General features: G+C 35.0%; 1 protein-coding gene across 18 annotated transcripts in view, besides 1 other annotated feature; it reads right to left on the bottom strand.

Annotated features, from left to right (window-relative positions):
• The window catches only part of FER (FER tyrosine kinase), a 448,945-nt gene that overhangs the window by 157,658 nt on the left and 270,423 nt on the right, over window positions 1-20,864 (bottom strand). For all 18 annotated transcript variants that reach the window (NR_146155.2, XR_007058589.1, XR_007058591.1 and 15 more), the window contains one exon: window positions 1,706-1,762. Coding sequence is in view for 15 of the 18 variants with exons in the window: in NM_005246.4 (NP_005237.2) it covers window positions 1,706-1,762 (57 nt within the window). In the remaining 3 variants the exon portion in view is untranslated. The remainder of the gene's footprint in view (window positions 1-1,705; window positions 1,763-20,864) is intronic.
• Window positions 4,518-4,567: an enhancer, noted in NCBI's record as "active region_22878". NCBI's record gives its function as "activates an Ori minimal core promoter by ATAC-STARR-seq in GM12878 lymphoblastoid cells {active_cell/tissue: GM12878}" and the evidence as "EXISTENCE:reporter gene assay evidence [ECO:0000049][PMID:35858748]".

The raw sequence follows: 20,864 nt of genomic DNA, 5'->3' as shown, positions 1-20,864 counted from the left end.
ATAACTTAACTCCAAAGTCTCTAACAATAGGAATCATGGCTAATTGTCTTAATTAGCCATGTACTCTTAAGCAGTATACTGTAAATGATTATTTAAAATAGGCAGTGAAAAATGTTAAATAACCATTTTCTTGTACTTAAAACTACTGGATGAAATTAAGCTACACACTGCCTCAAAGTCACAGTCTTCTATTTAAAATAAATTCATTAAGACTGACATATTACTTGTCGTTGAGAAAAAAATTATTCTTTGAAATAGTCTAAGGAGATAAATTCCTCCTAATACTTTATAGCATAAACTAAACACAAAAATAGAAATATTTCTCTTTAACTAAAAATATTTTTTTCGTAGTACTAAAAAGTCTGTCCTTCTAAACATATTCTGCCTTTATTTCAGTAAATGCTTTAGTTTTATAATTTATTATTTAATTGTATCATGGAAATTAATCTTTGTAATATTTTTTGGCCCAGTCACTGCTACTGAGTTACCTAGAGCAAGGGAAAGAAGAAATATTTCCTTAAGGATGAGGAAATAAACCCAGAGGAAATAACATATGAGTCACTGCTTTTAGCTTGAGGTTCTTTAGAATTCACTTACTAAATATGCCAATAAAAATCTGCTTTCCAATAACAATTCGATGCTTTGGGAAAAGTATTTTAAAATCATAAATGATAAGAATCCTGCAAACTATGTTATTTCAACAGAGATTTACTTTCTCAGAGATTTTTTAAAAATAGGGGAAAATAGTCAATTCATCAAGTTTACATTTGAATCAAAAAAGTAATGAGTAATCATTTCTTCATCTAAAATGCTGAGCCTTAATTAAGTTCAGTACTGATCACTCATATGTATGTTAGCTTTTCCTAAATATATAGATTTTAAACTATTTTTTGTATCACACCATAAGCTAAAATGAATTCACATTTTTATATATTAATGGAAATAATCACTAATTAAGTCACTGACAAAAAAGTGAATACTTATTCATTGGAACTCAATTATAAATAAAAGTTATTAATAAATTTTCAAATAGTCCATTTGGTTAATTCTCAAGTATCTGCCATTATTGTTAAATAACATATACTTGACTACGGCCTATGAGTTCAAAGAAACTTCCAACTACATTGGAAGAAAAGGGACTTTTATTATATATAGTTGCTTTTTCTGATTAATAGAACTAGTTATAAAATTAATATTTATATTGAAACAAGTGTCTTGTCCACATTTTTAGATTGAAATATGCCCAGTGTTGTTACATACTGTAATTCTATATACAATCCTGAAATCCCAAGAGGCAGTATTTCATTTTTTTCTAAACTATCACATGTAACCAGAAACAAAAAGAACAAGACTATTAGGTATTTATTTAAACTTTTATTATCTCACTGTTTCTTTTCAAATCTCAGTTCACTAGTTTTGACTTTACTGCACACTGAAGTAAAATCATTATGATTTTTAGTCCTTCCAGGGGAAAACACACATATAATATTCTTAAATGTTAAGAATCATCCTTAAATCTTTCAAAGACTTTCACACATCTATTTCAGTGAGCATCACAATATTGAGAAGATATAGCATTGTGTTCTAGTTAATGTGTAATGTGCCTTGTGGCAATATAAGAAAAGCTTTGAGGAAAATGAAAAAATCTGCAGTCTTCACAATCAATATAGAGACTTCTGGTTATTTAGCTCAGTTGATTACATACCTTGCCCAGTAATTCTCCCAATATGACATCTTCATGACTGAGAATCCATTTCTTGTCCTACAGCAAAGAATAAGAACAGTTGTTTAGTACAAGCAAGGGTACACTTCTTGAAGTTGCATTTGAGCCAGTGGAAAGTCGACCTAAAGGGATATTTCATTCAGACCATTCAATCAACAGCACACTGAGAAGTTATAACCCCAAGATGCTGTAAAACAAATTTAAGAAACGGTACTACACAATAGGACATTAAAGTCTACATTACAGCCAAATTCTATCAGAAATCTCAGCCTTCGAAATGATAGTATCTCTGTAATTAGAGCACAGCATGTACTTTCCACCAACCATAAAGTTTATGTTATGCTATTATTTGTCATTTCAAAAAGCTGTCATAAATACATGAGGGAGTTTGATTTTACAATGTAAAATTTTCAGTTCTCATTTAATCTTAGAAATTGTTTTTCTACTCAAATCATATTACTAAGAGCTAATTTTTCCACATATAAATGGGCCATGAGTTATAGCTGTCTATGACACTTCATATAGTCCCATATCTTTCCCAAGTAATCTCCTGTGGTATAATAAAGCAACAAACACCAATTACAATATCACTAGGGTGCATAAGGCCAGTGATGCAAACATATCATTGAAAGAGAGCATCCCATTATCTGATCTCAAGAACTGATTACTAGAGGATATTTTATCATCTAAAAAAGGCTCAACTATGAAATCCCACAATACCATAATGTAAGAAAAAATATGGTTTTTAATGAAGAAAGGAAAAAGGAAAAAAGTAAGAGAAAAGGAAGGGAGGAATAAAAAGGAAAGAAAGAGAGGAAGGGAAGAAAAAAAGGAGGGGAGTAGGAAGGAAGAGTTGGAGGAAGAGTATCCTGGTTGATATATTTTATTTATGAGTTAGGTTTCTTATTAATGTTAGAGTGTAGTTTTCCCCTCATTACAAAGACAGATGGAAATGTAATGATGATCTATGAGTTGTAACAAGTAATCAGACATCTTGAAGTAAAAATTCACCCTAACTATGACTTTAAAATGTCCTGGACAGTTATTTGAAGTGCTTTACCTTCTGAAATACCATGTGGCAAACACTCAACCAACACTCTCTGTTAGGTCAACAAAGGGACAACACTGATTTTTAAAATGCAATAGTTTTTATGCATAGTTTTTTCACCTAAATATAAAGTTAATGCTATAAAGATCCTGGAAGAAAACTTAGGAGGATAACGTCATGATCAAGTGGGTAAGTGAAGGTTTCTTAGAGAAGCACAAAAAAACACTAACTATAAAAAAGAAATGAAAATTGGACCTCATCAAAATTGAAAACATTTATTCAAAAGCATCACTTAAAAAATGAAAAGACAAACTACAACCTGGGAGAACATTTTTGCAATACTGAATTTCTATCTGATAAAGCATTTGTATGAAGAACATATACAAAACTCGTATCTCAACAACAAAACAAAGAACCCAGCTCAAGAAATTGTGTAAAACAAGTTCAGAAAAGATGATGAACAAATAGCCAGTAAGAACATCAGAGACACTTAACATCATTAGTCACCAGTGATATACAAATACAAATCACAATAAGACGATACTTCATTACTTCGTACCCATTAAGATACTAAAATTAAAAAGATTAACAAATCAAGAGATTGTGAGGGTGTGGAGCAACTGTAATCCTTATGTATCGCTGGTGAAAATGCAAAAGCATTTTTTTCCCAACGCAGAAAAAGCATTTTTGCGTTTGGGAAAATAATTTGGAAGTTTCTCATAAAGTTAAACATACACATCCTATGACTCAAATTGCTCTCCTAGGAATTAACCAAAGATAAATGAAAACATATCCACAAAAAGATTCATCAAAAAATGCTGGAAGCAGCTCTATTTGTAATAGCCAAAAACTAGAAACAACTCATATGTCCATCAAAAAGAAAACTGATAAACACATTTTGGTACATTCAGGGAACTGACTATTCGGCAATAAAAAGGAACTTACTACAGATGCATACAACAGAGCACTTGCAAATCACTTTGCTGAGTTAATAAATCTAGACAAACTTTACATACATAGATACTAATTCCATTTACATAAAATTCTAGAGAAGGACAATCTATAATGCTAGGTATCAGAGAAGTGGTTGCTTGGGGTAGGAGTTGAGAAAGACTGACTGCAAAAGGGAAAGAAGCAACTTTGCGGGGGGTTATAAAAATGTTCAACTCCTGGCCAAAATGGTGAAACCCCATCTCTACTAAAATACAAAAATTAGCTGGGTGTGGTGGCGCACACTTGCAGTCCTACCTATTTGGGAAGCTGAGGCAGGAGAATCGCTTGAACCCGGGAAGCAGAGGTTGCAGTGAGCCAAGATTGCGCCACTGCACTCCAGCCTGATGACAGAGCGAGACTCAGTAAAAAAAAAAAAAAAAAAAAAAGTTCAATTTCTTGGTGTTTCATTGAACTATATATTTAAAACCTGTGGAAAATTTTATTTTATATAAATTACACATCCATAAAGTTCATTTTTTAATAAAAAATAAAAGAGCTGTACTTTCCATTTGATTAGCAGTTCTGGGGTTTAATTCTCCACCCCAAACCCTATATATAAGCAAATGTTATTCTTCTAAGAGTGCCATCTGGCAGTCAGGAAAGTTATTTTAAAGTTGCAAACTGATTCTTGGACAGCTTTTCCACTTTAGACAATGATAACCTAGGCAGTTGAGCCCAATCCTTGTAGTGCAAACCACTGAAAAAATAGGTTGAAATGTAGAAACAAAAACACAAAAAGAAAAAACAACCAAACAAAGAAAACCCCTAAACATCCATTTAAAGGCACTGGAGAGCTAGTAAAATAGTGAAGTATTGACAGACTAAAGCTAGGTTAAGAAAAGAAGCCATGTCAAGGATTTATGGGCTACTTTTACCCTTGAATGCACATGGTCATTGTGAAAGCAGAAGCCAATAGGTTAAAAAATACAGAGAGAGTTCAGGGCCTGCAAGCAGAAGAGGCTCTGATAAAATACCCCAGGCTTTTAATAAACCCCAAACATACCACACTGTGGTAGAAAAAGTAACCTCGAAATGAAAAGAAGTAAGCCTACCTTCTAAACATGTCCATCATGGATTGAACCAAATTAGGGATTGGCAGACTAAGTCTGCAGACCAAACCGGCTCACTGCCTGTCATATCAAAGTTGAATTTCAGTGTCCTTAGATAATTGATCAATAGATCTACAGAAATTATCCAGTCTAAGTTATAGACAGAAAAAAACAAAAGAACAGTAGAGAACAGAATGTTGGTCAGCAGAAACAGGAGGTGTGAGGGGTTGAGGAATGGAGATAAGTTGACCAAATGGTACAAAGTCTCAGTTAGATGGGAGGAGTAAGTTTCCAAGATCTATTGCACAGCAAAGTGACCATGGTTAATAATAATGTATTTCTACTTCAAAATTGCTACAAAAAGCTCCAGATTTTAAATGATCTCACTACCAAAAATAAGTTATGTGAAGTGATGGATATGTTAGTTAGCTTGATATAATCATTCCACAATATATACATATATCAAAACATCACATTGTACTCATACCCATAAATATATACAATTATTATTTGTTAATTAAAAGTAAAAATTTAAATAATAAAAAAAGACATGTGACTCAGCCTGTAAGAGGCAGGGATAAATGCCCCAGGAGAATTCAGTGACTATTTTGATCAGAATTTGTGGATAGTCTGCAGAAGTGTTGATAGAGAGGCAAACTCCCAATCCGTTAAATTGGATAAAGATGGGGTAGAACTACCAACCCTCTCCCCCTTAGGTATTAAATGGAATATTCCTAAGAAGGCTGCTAAGTGGCTGAGAAAGACATTCAATTTCAGTTATATGATGATGCTAAAGCTTTACTTACGCCTCTGAAATGGTTTCAGAGGGCAAGTCAAAAGTAAATTAGGGAACATGGACATTGAGTAACGCAGAGTTGGAGAATGGGGAGTTGCTGAAGAAGCCTGGAACTCTGCATTTGCTTTTATTTTTACTGACTTTTCTCCTTCTCCCCTTCTATCCAAAGGAAAGAAAAGTCACACTCAGAAGATATGGCCAAAGACAGCTGCAGCTTGCTCCTTAACAACTGCTCCAGAGCTGGTTTCTCCTAAAGTGATTATACTACATATTTCTGGTCTCTATCTTTGCTCTGTTTTTTGTAAAGGGACAAGCAGACTTTTTGCAACCTTCTCAAATATAGAGAAAAAACAGAAAAAATGGAAGCAGACTGCCTCTTAGTCTCTTCCAAGAAATAGGAATAGTAGCTTTATCAGTCCACAGGTTAATGAATGAAAATAAAAGTTGTAATTAAGTATAAACCATCAATAGAAACAAGGCAAAGACATAAAAGATGTATTACAATAGGAATGAATAGAGTTGACAGAGTTATATTTAACATTTCATTTGCTTGCAAGTGATCTGTGACCATACAGAAAAATCTACAGACCTGTGTTCAAAACTAATGGTTAAATTTCCCTGATCTTGAAGCTACAACAGATTGACTTAGACTCCTGACTTGTTAATATTTGGATTCTATTCTTTATGTTAATTCCTGAGTATTAATATATCATGATTACGGTAAAAGAAAAATATCCACTTTTCCTATTTATCAATTCTCTTATTTTAGAGAGATTCTGGAGATATAAATTATGCACTTTGGTAATCACTGTAAGATATGGGCTACATATAAAGATTTTGGTGGCCTTATAAACCCATGAAATCACAGTGTACCTTCTAATTGCCTAAGCAAATAATACTTATTTTTATTAATTGATTCGTGAGTGACACTGAGAAAAGAAGAAATGAATGAGATGGATTAACTGCCCTTCTGGGGAGTTGGCTGATGCTACTGAATCTAGTTCTAATAACTTGTGGATGTGAGGTAGCTGACTGTCCCTGTCTTAGTTTGGGTTCTCTCAGAAGCAGACCCTGAGACAAGGATTCAAATGCAAGTAGTAGTTAATTTGAGAAGCACAAGGAACAGAAGGAAAAAGAGATGTAATACAGGAAACTGGGGGCAACCAATAAGGTAAGCTATTACCTGTTGAGTGAAAAAATGAGGCACAGGGAGGAAATGTAAGTGTGTTCAGTGAAGGGTAGGAGTTGGGCAAGAATACCTGTGTAAAAGAAACATAGTTTCTTTTCTAACCTATGATTAGTGGTTGTCACAGTCCCACCAACATTAGCTCTCTTCTCTCTAACATCTCTAAAGAGTTTATTTTTCTACTTCGCTGCCAACAAACTTTCTCTCAGTCTGCCATGCAGCAGTCTCTCTGGCATAGCCCACAGAAGCCACCACTCCTATGGGACTCAGTATTAACTACGCTGGTAGAGAAGGGGTGTAAGTCTAGGAATATGAACCTGGAATTTTAAGATAGAACTGTCAGTATATAAGGATATATTCCATTAGACTCATGTAAAATGGTAGTTATGCTCCATACATTGCATATGTTATGGATATACTTAAGCATTGCTAGCACTGCTTCTCTAGGAAAGTTCATCTCCAAACAGATGAGTTAAAGATAAACTTAGATTACACTCTGTTCAAAATGTCATTTCAAGTGTCACATGAGTAATGTAAGTGATGACAAAGGATTTCAGAGGAAAAGGAAGCCATATTGTGCTAGAAAAGTCAGAAGAAGTCTCAAAAAACAGGTAGTATTTGAGATAAGTCTTGAACATGGATATGATTGATATGCTAAAAGGAGAAAATAACTTTGGCAAAAGCATAGAAAGAAGTAGAAATCTTCTAGATAGAGTGAATACACAAGAAGAGTGAAGGCAAAGACTTCTTAAAGGGGAGTAATGTTCAGTGAAAAACTAGAAATGTACTTTCTAACCAGGCCATGGAGAGCTTAAACAAGGAATCAAGTATTCACTTAATCTTATAGACCAGAAGTCTCCAAATACTCTTTATTGTGTAACCCTTTAATTTTTTTTTAAAAATGTGAGCATTTGTTCTACTATACAAATATAGAATGTATATTATCCAGCATCCAAACAAACAATTAAAATACTATGGTCATTGGACAAGTTCTAGAAGCATAATTCTCCCTGCTCCTTTCCACAGGAAAGTATTATAGCTATAAACCCTGGACATAATTCAAGAGGCAAACAAGGAACTCTGAAAGATGGTATGAGAAGGGTGAATTGGTTTGGGACTCCTGGAATGGGAGAACAGAATAGTGGCAGGATGTCTTCCATCCTACCGCCACAACAGAAGGCAGTTTGACTCCCAACATAGCCATAGAAGGCGGCTCAGTTAGGCCTATTCCTCCCCTGGATTATATAAGAGTCCTCAAAATGACCAAATGAGCCCAGTACCACCTTCAAGGGGATTGACTGGAGATCCAACTAACAATAAGCAGCTAAGGGAAGACTCCCTTTCCCAGCTGGCCTAAGACTGCTTTGCCCCACCAAGAAATACTGGGATGGCCCACAAGTAACAGGAAGATAGATCCCAGACAAATGAGCGACCAAGCCTAAGAGGCCTCTTTGTTTCTGTGGGCCTGTTATCTCACTTCCCAACTGAGAAATAACAAGGCAGCTCAGTTGCATTGGCAAGAGAAGTACTGCCACAAAAAAAAGACCTATCCTGGGAAGTCTCTTTGTCTCCATGCACTGAGACTCCTATCTCCCTTGCCAGAGATGACAGGGCAGTGTGCCTAACGGGAGAAAGAATCCCACCACAATAAGGTCCCAGCCCAGGAAGTACTCTGTTCCTCAGAGGCAGGAGAAGTCTACCAAACAATCCCATAGGCCTAAGATGCCCTTCCTCAGTGAAACACCTGGCAGCCCAGACTTGGGGAATTCCCTCTACTCCTAGAGGCAGCATTAAAATGAACAAGTTAGAAGGAAGCCCAGTGGCACCAGATAAACCAACAAAACAAAATAACACCAAAAAAGCTCTAAAAATTGCACTGTCATTGAAACCATTTAAAGCAGGCCAGGCCCTACCTGCTAAACCTAAACAAGGTAACTACCTGCAAAAATGAAAGATTTAAATGGGACCCAAGATGTCCTAACATAATAGATTATATGTCTAGGGTACAATTAAAAATCATCCATCATATCAAGAGCCAAGAAAATCACAATCTGAATGAGAAAAGACAGTCAACCAACAGTGGGATGGATCTGATGTTGGAATTACCTGACGAGGATTTTAAAGCTGCCAGAAAAATGCACAACAATCACTTACAAATTCCCTTGAAAAATATGAAAACACATAGATTATCTCAGCCATAGAAACAGAAGTTATTAAAAAAAGAACCAAATAAAAAGTATATAACTAAAAATTACAAAGCAAATTTTAAAAACTCACTGAATGGGCTCAATAGTAAAGTGAAGATAAGAGAGGCTAATCATTGAACTTGAGGACAGATCAATAGATTACCCAATTTGAACAACAAAGAGAAAATAGATTGGGTGAAAAAAAATGAACAGAACCTTAGGAACCTGTAAGGCAAGCAATCCCACATTTGTATAATCTGAGATAAAAGGAGAGGAGAAAGAGTAGGGCTGAAAGAGTACTTAAAGAAATAATGACTGAAACTTCTCAAATTTGGCGAAAGACACAAATCTACAAACAAGAAGCTGACAGGACCTGAAATAGGATAAACACAAATAAATTCAAGCCAAGATTCATCATAATCAAACTTCCGACAAGGAAAGACAAGGAGTCTTGAAAGCAGCCAGAGAGAAATGACTTTACCTACAGGGTATACCAATTCACAGAAAGCAGACTTCTCTTCTGAAACCACACAGTTTGGACAAAAGTAGCACAGTATCCTTCCAGTGTTGAAAGAAAATAACTGTCAACTGTAAATAGTAAATGTGGTAAAACCATCTTTCAAGAATGAATGGAAAACAAGGCTGGGCACAGTGGCTCACCCTAGCACTTTGGGAAGCCGAGGCAGGAGGATTGCTTCAGGCCAAGAGATCTAAACCAGCTTGGGAAACAAAGTGGGACTCTTTCTCTAATTAAAAAAAAAAAAAAAAAAAAAAAAAGAACAATGAATAGAAAATAAAGACATTTTCAGATAAAGAAAGCCTTGGGAGATATACCTAATGCTAGATGACGAGTTAGTGGGTGCAGCACACCAGCATGGCACATGTATACATATGTAACTAACCTGCACATTGTGCACATGTACCCTAAAACTTAAAGTATAATAATAAAAAAAAAAAGGTAAGAAGAAAAAAAAAAAAAAAAGAAAGCCTAAAAGGACGTAGGTAAAACCAAAACTAAACAGAGCTCTACCTTAACTTTCACAATAACTCTGTGAGGAAAGTTTAACAAAGTAGGTCTGTTTCATTCAGTTTCTGCTTATCTCTATACTCTTGACCACCTTTGGTGAAAATGAGAACTAAACTACCAGAATGTTCAAAAGTTACTGAGTAATATTAGTCCATAATGACTGAAGTGGCAGGTCAAGAAGAACTAGGTTGTTAGCATGCTTAAAGTAAACATAAATATCCATTCTATGCACATGGTGCCTGGTTTGGGGTCCTCACATGGCTGGTCATGTTAACAGGTATGTGATCAGCCCCTGGTAAGAACTTTGGACTCCAAAACTCAAATGGGATTTCCTGAGTAATGGTATCACACATGGCCTTGCAGTTTGTAGACAGAAAGACTTAGCCATACAATTCCTGCTATAAATAGGGCAAGAAAGCCTCTTTTGACCTAGCTTTTGCTGTTCCTACATGAGTCAGTCTTTTGCGACAATAAATCCTAGCCTTGAATATAACTTAATGTTAACTTATGTGAGCCTTTCTAGTGGATCACTGAACTTGGGGGTGTTAGTGACACCATCAAGCCAGGACTCTGAGGTTCTGAGAGACAGGCTACTCTGACAGCAAATGGCAGAAACAATGTTTGAACCCATATATGTCTGACTCTGAAGCTTATGTCCTTTCTAACAAATTATACTGTTACCCAAAATAGAGTAATTTATTTAAAGCAATGCATATGACTCTTTCAAGTTCAGAGATAATGATGCAATCAATTTTAATTAATTGAAACACAATGGGTTATAAATTCTATTTTAAGTTTCAAGTTCTATTCCTAACAGATTTTTTAACTTATGATTTACATACTTTGTTTGAAATTATTTCTATGCAAATGAATTATAGATTGCTCTTCATCTACTGCATTCATTAGATTATAATCTAAAGCTTTGCATTTTGCACATTCACAGTTTTTGTGCCAAAAAATGAAATCACAAAAAGCTTTACAGTTGTAATCAAGTATGTCAATATAACTGGCAGAGTTATGAGTCAATTTTGTATAATCTTTATGTAATCTGTAACCTAAAAAAATAATGACTCAACTTCGGTCTCTATACCACTTATTTCCACTAGATAAATGACAAATATTCCATTTTCCCACAATAACTCTGTTCCAAATTTTCTATAAAATATAAAATCACTTAAAAATAAGGTTTCAACAAAATTGTCATTAATATAGTACTTTTAATGAAAACACTATGTAAATCCCACATCTTTATACAAGTAGATACAGTAATAAGCAAAAGCTATAAAAATAACTGAAAATAAAATCTAATTAGTTTTAAAATGCTAAAACCTAAATCTTAGAATTTTGCCTCACAAATGTAGTCATTTTAAATAAAGTGAACAACTATCAAATAAGCAACGTCTCCTTTGTTCACCTGCTGAAGACAACCAGCAGTCTGCCCAGGCTGCAGGGACTAACTGTGCTTCTTGGTGGACTGCTACAGGGTACAGATGGTCATTATTTATTATGTCAATCAACCGCTGCCAAATCTCTTTGGATGGTTGTGCCATTTCTTCCTAAAGTTATCCCTTTAAAGGGCTTTATGGGGCACAGGGACATATTTGAAATTCGATCTCAAGTAGGTAAGTCAGAGTGATTAGAAGTGTGACTTAAATTAACACTTCCCTTTGATTCACAGTTCTCCAAGAAGAATGCCCACCAAAAGAAAATACTGCTAATAGTAAAGAACAACCTTATTCTATTCCTATATATCTCCCCAACATTCAAAACTGAAATAGAAGTTCTTGCTTCCATGTGACTGAAGTTATATTTTTAATTCAACATTTTCATTTTTAAATCATTGTTTTTGATAAATAATTCTACCTTAAATACAGGCCAATTCACTAATACAGTAATACAATCTATTCCTCAGCAAGAGCCAATGTATTGCAGGTTCAACATGAGGACTTAATTACAAAAAATACTGGAAATACAAGCTTTGTCCAGCCCCTGGTCAAAGGGATAGTGGTAATCATCCAGTGTAATAGTTTGAAAGAAAGAAAGAAAAAAGGCAAAATTTAAATCAGAATTAAAAAAAAATATTATCTCACTACAAAGATTTAATACCTGTAGCAGATGAATTTCTAAACATATTGACAACATGGTATTTTGGAGCTAATGCACAAAGACCAACATATAATCCTTAGAAAGAATAATTAGCCGGGTGTGGTGGCTCACGCCTGTAATCCCAGCACTTTGGGAGGCCGAGGTGGGCAGTTCACAAGGTCAGGAATTTGAGACCAGCCTGGCCAACATGGTAAAACCCCGTTTCTACTAAAAATACAAAAAAATTAGCCACGCATGGTGGCGGGCGCCTGTAATCCCAGCTACTCGGGAGGCTGAGACAGGAGAATTCCTTGAACCCGGGAGGCGGAAGTTGCAGTGAGCCAAGATTGGGCCACTGTACTCCAGCTCAGGCAACAACAACAACAACAAAAAAGAAAGAATAATTAACAAAATGTCACAATACATAAGATGATTCTCAGAGATTTTTCTACTACTCATACTGAGAAATATTTGCTATCTCTATTTTTCTTTTATATACAATTTTTCAGTCAGCCTGCTTCATTATCTCCCTAGCTGGCTCAGCACATTTATTCCACTCAAAGTCTCAGCCATAGAACCTTTTTATAATCCAAGAATTATTCAGAATTTGATCAGCTTTGTCATTAAAGTTATCAGGGTTGCTTTAGAGGAAAAAAAAAAACTTATTGAAAAGTATGCAAAGTAGTTGCCCATCTGGAATCTATCTGAGAAGCTTTTAGTAACCGAGTATTTGTTTAAATGTTCTATAAATTCATTCTAAATAATCCAAAAGTACTTTCTTCCCAAATGGTTCTTATTTAGGAAACACACACATTATTACCTTAGAAAATATTTCATTATATTTGCAAGCTACATAAAATAGTTCTTGTATGTGTATAATTTATTTTATCCTATCATTCTAGAAAGGATTTTAATTGGTTCTTATTTTTAATGTATGTCTATGTAATTTCCCTACTTATAAAATAAACTTGTTTATTATAGGATAGTATTAACTGAACAAAAGGCTGTATAATTTTCTGTACACATATGAATATTTTCTAACTCATTTTCATTCATCTCAACTTTAGAATGTCTCATTTTTCTTGACTAAAAAACTCTCAGAGCCAACAGTTATGCCCTCCAAAGGAAGCAATGCAGGTGATAATAAGTGAAAAAATGCTGATACAGACCCTTTTCAGGTTCTGGCAACTGAGTGGCTAAAAATAGCCAGCTAGAAAAATATGTACGTTCAAAAAGGCCTTTGACAAAATTCAACAACCCTTCATGCTAAAAACTCTCAATAAATTAGGTATTGATGGGATGTATTTCAAAATAATAAGAGCTATCTATGACAAACCCACAGCCAATATCATACTGAATGGGCAAAAACTAGAAGCATTCCCTTTGAAAACTGGCACAAGACAGGGATGCCCTCTCTCACCACTCCTATTCAACATAGTGTTGGAAGTTCTGGCCAGGGCAATTAGGCAGGAGAAGGAAATAAAGGGTATTCAATTAGGAAAAGAGGAAGTCAAATTGTCCCTGTTTGCAGACGACATGATTGTATATCTAGAAAACCCCATTGTCTCAGCCCAAAATCTCCTTAAGCTGATAGGCAACTTCAGCAAAGTCTCAGGATACAAAATCAATGTGCAAAAATCACAAGCATTCTTATACACCAACAACAGACAAACAGAGAGCCAAATCATGAGTGAACTCCCATTCACAATTGCTCCAAAGAGAATAAAATACCTAGGAATCCAACTTACAAGGGACGTGATGGACCTCTTCAAGGAGAACTACAAACCACTGCTCAAGGAAATAAAAGAGGATACAAACAAATGGAAGAACATTCCATGTTCATGGGTAGGAAGAATCAATATCATGAAAATGGCCATACTGCCCAAGGTAATTTATAGATTCAATGCCATCCCCATCAAGCTACCAATGACTTTCTTCACAGAATTGGAAAAAACTACTTTAAAGTTCATATGGAACCAAAACAGAGCCCACATCGCCAAGTCAATCCTAAGCCAAAAGAACAAAGCTGGAGGCATCACGCTACCTGACTTCAAACTATACTACAAAGCTACAGTAACCAAAACAGCATGGTACTGGTACCAAAACAGAGATATAGATCAATGGAACAGAACAGAGCCCTCAGAAATAAGGCCGTATATCTACAACTATCTGATCTTTGACAAACCTGAGAAAAACAAGCAATGGGGAAAGGATTCCCTATTTAATAAATGGTGCTGGGAAAACTGGCTAGCCATATGTAGAAAGCTGAAACTGGATCCCTTCCTTACACCTTATACAAAAATCAATTCAAGATGGATTAAAGACTTAAACATGATGTGAAAGGCACAGGGGCTCATCAAAATGAAAGCAAAATATAGTTTCTGCTCTCAGGAGTTTCTTATCCAGTGACAATATGAAAAAGAAAGGGGGATTAGACGGTACCTTTATCTTCAAAGAGCAAAAAAGATGAGACTCCTGGCTTTTTCCTTTCATTCTTTGGTATCTACCCACCGTCCTCCGTAGCTCACACACTCTGGCCATTATGAAGAAGGGGTCTCTATCAGATGGGCTTGGCACTGTCCCCAGTGGCTACCAGAAAAAAGGAGACCTGCCTGTGAGTTGAAGTGAATCAGGATCTTGCTCCCAAGGACCTCTCTCCACTGCTTTCTTTCGTTTTCTTTCCATTCCACTCTGCATAGGGTGGTAGTCTTATGAAGAAGAGATATGCAAGGAGTGAACCTTGTCCAGGCTTCAAGGAATACACAGTGGTGTCATTTTGTTGGGCTGTTGGAACCTGACACTGGGAAGAGGCATCTGAGGAGTATTATGTACTATTCCACTGAGTTTATCAGAATCCTCTTCAATAGCATCAAAGGCTAAGGAAACTACAATGATCTACAGCACTGCAGAAATAGTCTTCTGTTCTATGTATTTGTTAAGAGACTAGGCTATGGAGCGAAACTGCTTGAGCTTGAAATATGGCTGTCCTGCACTAGCTGTGTAACTTTCAGCAACATGGCCTCTTTCAGTCTCAGCTTCCTTATCTGCAAAATAAAGATAAAAAGAGAAGCTACTATATAGGGTGGTTCTAAATATTAAATGAGATCTTAATAAAGTACTCAGTCAGTGCCTAACATATAATAAGTGCTTAATAAACATTAACCATTCTTCCTCTTACTCAAGAACCCTCAAATCTTTGGGGGAAAGGGGAGTCCATCATCTCTCATACTGTTCTACTCCTAGCACCTTGTCTTTCCTTTTAAGCAAACCACAACTGCTCATTCATTCATTCAATCAACAAGTATTTACTGAATATCTATCAAGTGACAGGCACTGTGCTAGGCATTGGCTAGATAGGGTGAGTGAAACAATGTCCCTCTTCATGAAGAGAAGAAAAAGTGAAAATGTTTGCAAATTAAAAAAAAAAAGTTACAAAAAAACCCCAAAACACAAACAATACTGAGATAGAGAATAAAAATGGACATAAGGGAACCATTTAGATAGATTGGCATTTAAGCTGAGACTGAAAGCAGGCAAAGGTAGGAAAGAATACTGCCGACAAAAGGCACAACTGGAACTAAGGCTCTGAGACATAAGAAGCATGTGGTATGTTCACAAAACAAAAGGAGAGTCCACATTGTTCCCCTGAGTTCAACTTGGACGTATCCAAGTGCCTACTTGAAATCTCCACTTGATTGTCTAATAGTACCTCAGACTAACCATGTTCACAATAGAACTCTCAATTCCTATCTCCCTAAAAAACTGTGTTTCTCTCATAGCATTCTCTATTTCAGTAAATGTAACTACTATTCATCCAGGTTCTCAAACCAAAAATCTTAATCATTCTTGATTATTTTCCCTGCCTCATTCTCCACATACAATGCATCAGGGAAAATGTTAGGTCTACTTGCAAAACATCACTCGACACATACACTTTCTGTCTATCTCTACTCCTACCAGTTAAGACCAAGCAAACATCATTTCCTTCCACAGGTCACTATAATAGTCTTTTAACCTGATTTCATGCTTCCATCCTCCCTTTACATACATTTTACACATAAGAAAAAAGATGTGGTTTCTTTAAAAAGATGTAATTAAGAACCTGCTATTCTCTCATTAAATCCCTCCAGTAATGCCCCATTGCTCTTAGATTAAAAACCAAGCTATTATCTATAGCATAATAGGGCATAATCTAGTCCCTGCAGATCTCTATCCTTATGTTATTTCATTCCTTCCTCTGAGGTCCTCTTTTGATTCTTTATGCAGATGAAGCATCTGGTTATTGTTGATTTTGATCCTCTATACATTTGTATGACATAGTTACCCTAGCTGGAATACCCTCCAGTTAAAACTTATTTGTTTTCCTCTACAAGTTCATGTTCCAGGTCTTGACTTGAATCGTGTCTCCTCAGAGAAACTTTATCTGATCATCCTAACTAAAGTGACCCTCACAAGGTAATATTTCTATATATTATGTCATTAGCCTTTGTGGGGCCCAATGTCACATGTCTAAATATGTAAAACTTACATATCAAGTCAACAAATCATTAAATGTGACATCTTCTTTTCCATTACTTTGACAAATATACCTCCCTAATAACCTGGAAAGTCAAATATTCACTTCAAGACTTCTGCACTAGAACATGGCAGTATAGGAGAAGTCTCCCCAGGTCCTGTACTGCAAGCCTACTTGTCTCTCTTCCCATTCCTGGTTCCTTTATGCTCCTCATGTAGCCTAGTATGTGGTATCTCTAGACTCTCCTTCCTGTATATTCCAAGCTGCATCCATGTGTTCCTCAAATATATTGGCCACCCTTCCTGTGGTCCACCCTTGAGACAATGGACTTCCCTTGAGACAATAGACTTCAGTCATTAGCTTGGGCAGGGCATGGAAGTGGGCTCAGGGTTGCTGGAACAGGAAATATGAAGATCTACAGACTCTGAGGTAGAAAGCATGGACTGTATATGGGCACATATTCTAGGTACTTTAAACTCCTCAACTGTAGGGAGGGTGTAACTGGTAGACTGCCAAAATGGAGCCAGAGAAGTAGCCCTCCTTTTGGATCTAAGGACATTATTACTTTGCTTGTTTCCTTTTTAGCATGATGAACCTATAATTATCTTATAAATTATTTGTTTACCTTTCTCTATCTTCTCCCTCTAAAAGGTAAGCTGCATACCTACAGGGGCTTTATCTGTCTTGCAATGCTTAACATGCGGTAGGTATTTTTTGGATTTTACTTCTTGTAGTAATGCAACATGAAAAAACAACAACTTTTAGGAACAAAATGCACACATTTCACAACGTCATGTTTCATAAATATCTATCAAATCTAAGAAAGCTTGTTTTTTTGCTTTTCAATTAATCTTATTCATAGAAGACATACAGTTTAGTAGAAAATTAATTACTTTATAGTAATGAGATGGGATATATGTTGTTTATCCTAAAGCTTCAGTAATGTTATAAAGTACTAAGATAAGCACTAAGAATCCTTCATTATAAACTAAAAGCTAGTAGCTAAGAAAAAATTGGTGAAGAAAGCTTACTTTTAGGAAAAACACTTTTATTCTAATAGATTCTAGTATTCAGAGTATCCCTCTAGCAAATGTTGTTAGAATACTAAAAATGAAAAAAGCAATTCCCACTTGTGAGTCTACAATCCATTAAATGACTTGATAATTATGTTAAGTATACCCTTATATTATGCATATGCATTTTTAAAAATAATGTACATAGAAGTTTGTTGATTTCAACACTAAAAGAAGCATCCAGAAAGACTTCACACAGGGAAGTCAACATTATAGTCCCTGTTCTCACTCTTATTAAGGTCAAATAAATCTTAACAGACCTACCGTTAGTAAGCACACCGGCTAAAATCTAAATTTATTAATTAAAATGGTAGTAGGATAACACTGAGTACAGCAAATATACGTATTATATATATTCACCTTTTTGGATCTGATCATGAGGTGGGTGTGCAGTATTTTGGCATTTCTGATAAAAGATGTATAAAGTAGCTACACTAAAATTATTCTACTTAATATGAAGCAAAACACTTAAAATAACTTGAATTTAAAGGAGAATAAAGGTAAAATGGTTCCTTAACTCCTGGTTACAAGCATACCAACAACATGCTATCTTTATGTTCTGAGTGTTAAAAACAAACATTTCATTCAAATCAGACCCAAATCAAACAGGACCATTTAGAAAATTTCAAAACGATTGAGATAATTATTTCTCTACAGTTCTTCAATAATTAAAATAAACAAAAGAGGTTCATCAGTACAAGGCCTTTAGTTTGGCAAGGTGGCTGAAAACCAATTTTGAGGTCTTTTTACAGTGTTCATAAAAGGCAGAGTGCTTCTGGATACAAAACAAAGTCATAAGGCAAAGCTCGGCCGCGAAGTGTGTGCCAAAAGTTCACAAGGGGATATATAATAGCTGGATAAAACATAATTAATCTTTGTCATCCATCAATTTCTCTAATTAGGGAAGATTTCCAGCAAGCCAATTTTAGTAACCAAAAAATTCCAAGTCATATAGAAGGAAACTGAGATCTAAATGTGGCTTATTTTCTTCCTCAATCTTACAAGTTAATGATCTGAAGGAATATTTCTTTTTATTAAATAACAAAGAATGAAAAGGATGTTATTTGTTCAGTTCTAAGTTGAGTTTTAGAAGATTCTTTAAAAAAGAGAAATTTTGGTCTTATTTCTAGAACTGTGGTAGAGACCAGTGAGATGGGCCAAATTTATGCTTTATTATATATGACTATAAAGTAATATTACTGATTTTTTAAAAGTGTAATTTCAAAGTAAGCTTATTCTAAAAATGCTGATCTTGCTCAAGGCAAGATGTTTTAAGACTGATTTTAAAATTAATTTCCAAATGCAGGAAATTGGAAATTCATACTTAAAACTACCTTTAAGCAATTTAAGAATATTTCTAATGTCTGTAGATTAGCAATGTACATACAATTAATTTTCAGAAAGCCAATCATTAAGAGTCAAATCTGGTGGGCGTGTTAAGAGGTCAAACTTGGTGAAAAACAGTTGCACTGCAAAGCAGTAAGACACATTTTATTTTGGATTAAAAGTTACCTTGAAGTAAATTCTAAAAGAAACAAATTGCAAAGTACATTAGGAAAAAGCAGCACTGCTACAATTTTTTTCTACAAGGTGATTTTGGTGATAATGTTTATATTGTTACCATCAGCATTTTAAAATCAGTCGTAAAACATTTTTTATATATAAATATATCTACAGACATATAAAGAAATAGGTTAAGTTTGGAAAGTAAAAGGTTATTGTCAGGTGTGTAACTCACTTCTTCCCTGGGATTGCAGGGAAGAATGCTAGAAGAAATGAATGACCTCCACCAGATCTCTTTATAAAGTTATTACAATTGTTTTTCAAACTTTAGCCTGCATCAGAATCAACTGGAGAGCTTGTAAAACATGACTGATGTCTCATCCTCAAAATTTCTGAATCAGTAGGCCTGGCATAGGAACCAATAATTTGTATTTTTAATAAGTTCCCTTATGATATTGATGCTACTGGTCTGGCGATCACACTTTGACAATATTAATAATGATACTTTAACCAGATACTGGTTTGGTAATCATACTTTGACAGTACTAATAATGATACTAATAATGACCACACTTTGACAATACTAACAATGATACTTTTGCATTTACTTGAGAGAAAGTTACTAGGAAGGACCTATCTATTATATAAAATGTTTTGAGCAGGATATATTAGTGTCTTCTAGACTGCTATTGTAAATAAACCTATAATTTAAAATTTTATGAGGGCATGGCTAGAGAATATGACATAATCACATAAGAATTTTTCTTTTAATGAAATTAATGGAGTATAAAACTGAAGAGTTCCAAAACCAAAATAGCATACACTGGAGCCCATCTCTTAATCCAAAACCAAAATCTAATCAAATGTGGATAAAGGGACATTTTTTGAAGCTGTCTATGATACATTCAAACCCCTCTGGAAAAAAATATTACACTTGTGCCTGGTTTCTGCTTGTATCTTTTGAATTATTAGGATATTATGGTGTTAGATAATACCTATGATTCATATGAATCAGCTTTGACAATTCAATCTGTTTTGTTACCTAAGTGAATTCTCAAAGTCATATGGCTCAACAGCAGTACTACCCACAGTAATCAAGGTTTCCTGTTCTATTTTACATTTCCCTCTACTATTTGTCCAAACAAGGGCTTGGGAAAAAATATCCAGAAAACGATGTGGGTGAAATCCAACTCTACTACTTAAGTCCCTTCTAAAGGTTCATATTTTGCTTACAGAACTTGATGAATTCTTAACAATGTTGTGGGAAATAATTATTATATCTATGCCATTTTAAATGGTTTTTATATGCCACTGTAATGTTTACATATATACGATTCAAAGGATTACATGATTCCATTAACATCTACACAAACCTACCACACAACCACAATTTACAGATAAGGAAATGGAAGCTCAGACTGATAAAGTAATTTAACCATTCTACACATCCACTATTGTGGGACAAGTCTTTGATTCTAAAATCTGTATTCTTCACCACCAAACCACACAGAAAATTGTGAAAAGGTAAATTAAAATGAAAATAAGGGTGTAAAAACCTTGCTTATCTAAGGTTCTCTACATGTGTAGTCCCAATGGTAAGATATCAATTATTTTAACTTCATCTTAAAGCCATATTGAATTATTGATCAGTTATCAGTCGCAAATCTTTATATAATCAA

This window comes from Homo sapiens, chromosome 5, assembly GCF_000001405.40.
Source record: "Homo sapiens chromosome 5, GRCh38.p14 Primary Assembly".
Classification (NCBI taxonomy): domain Eukaryota; kingdom Metazoa; phylum Chordata; class Mammalia; order Primates; family Hominidae; genus Homo; species Homo sapiens.
Note: the sequence above shows the minus strand (reverse complement) of the source record. Positions and strands in the feature narration are given on the sequence as shown.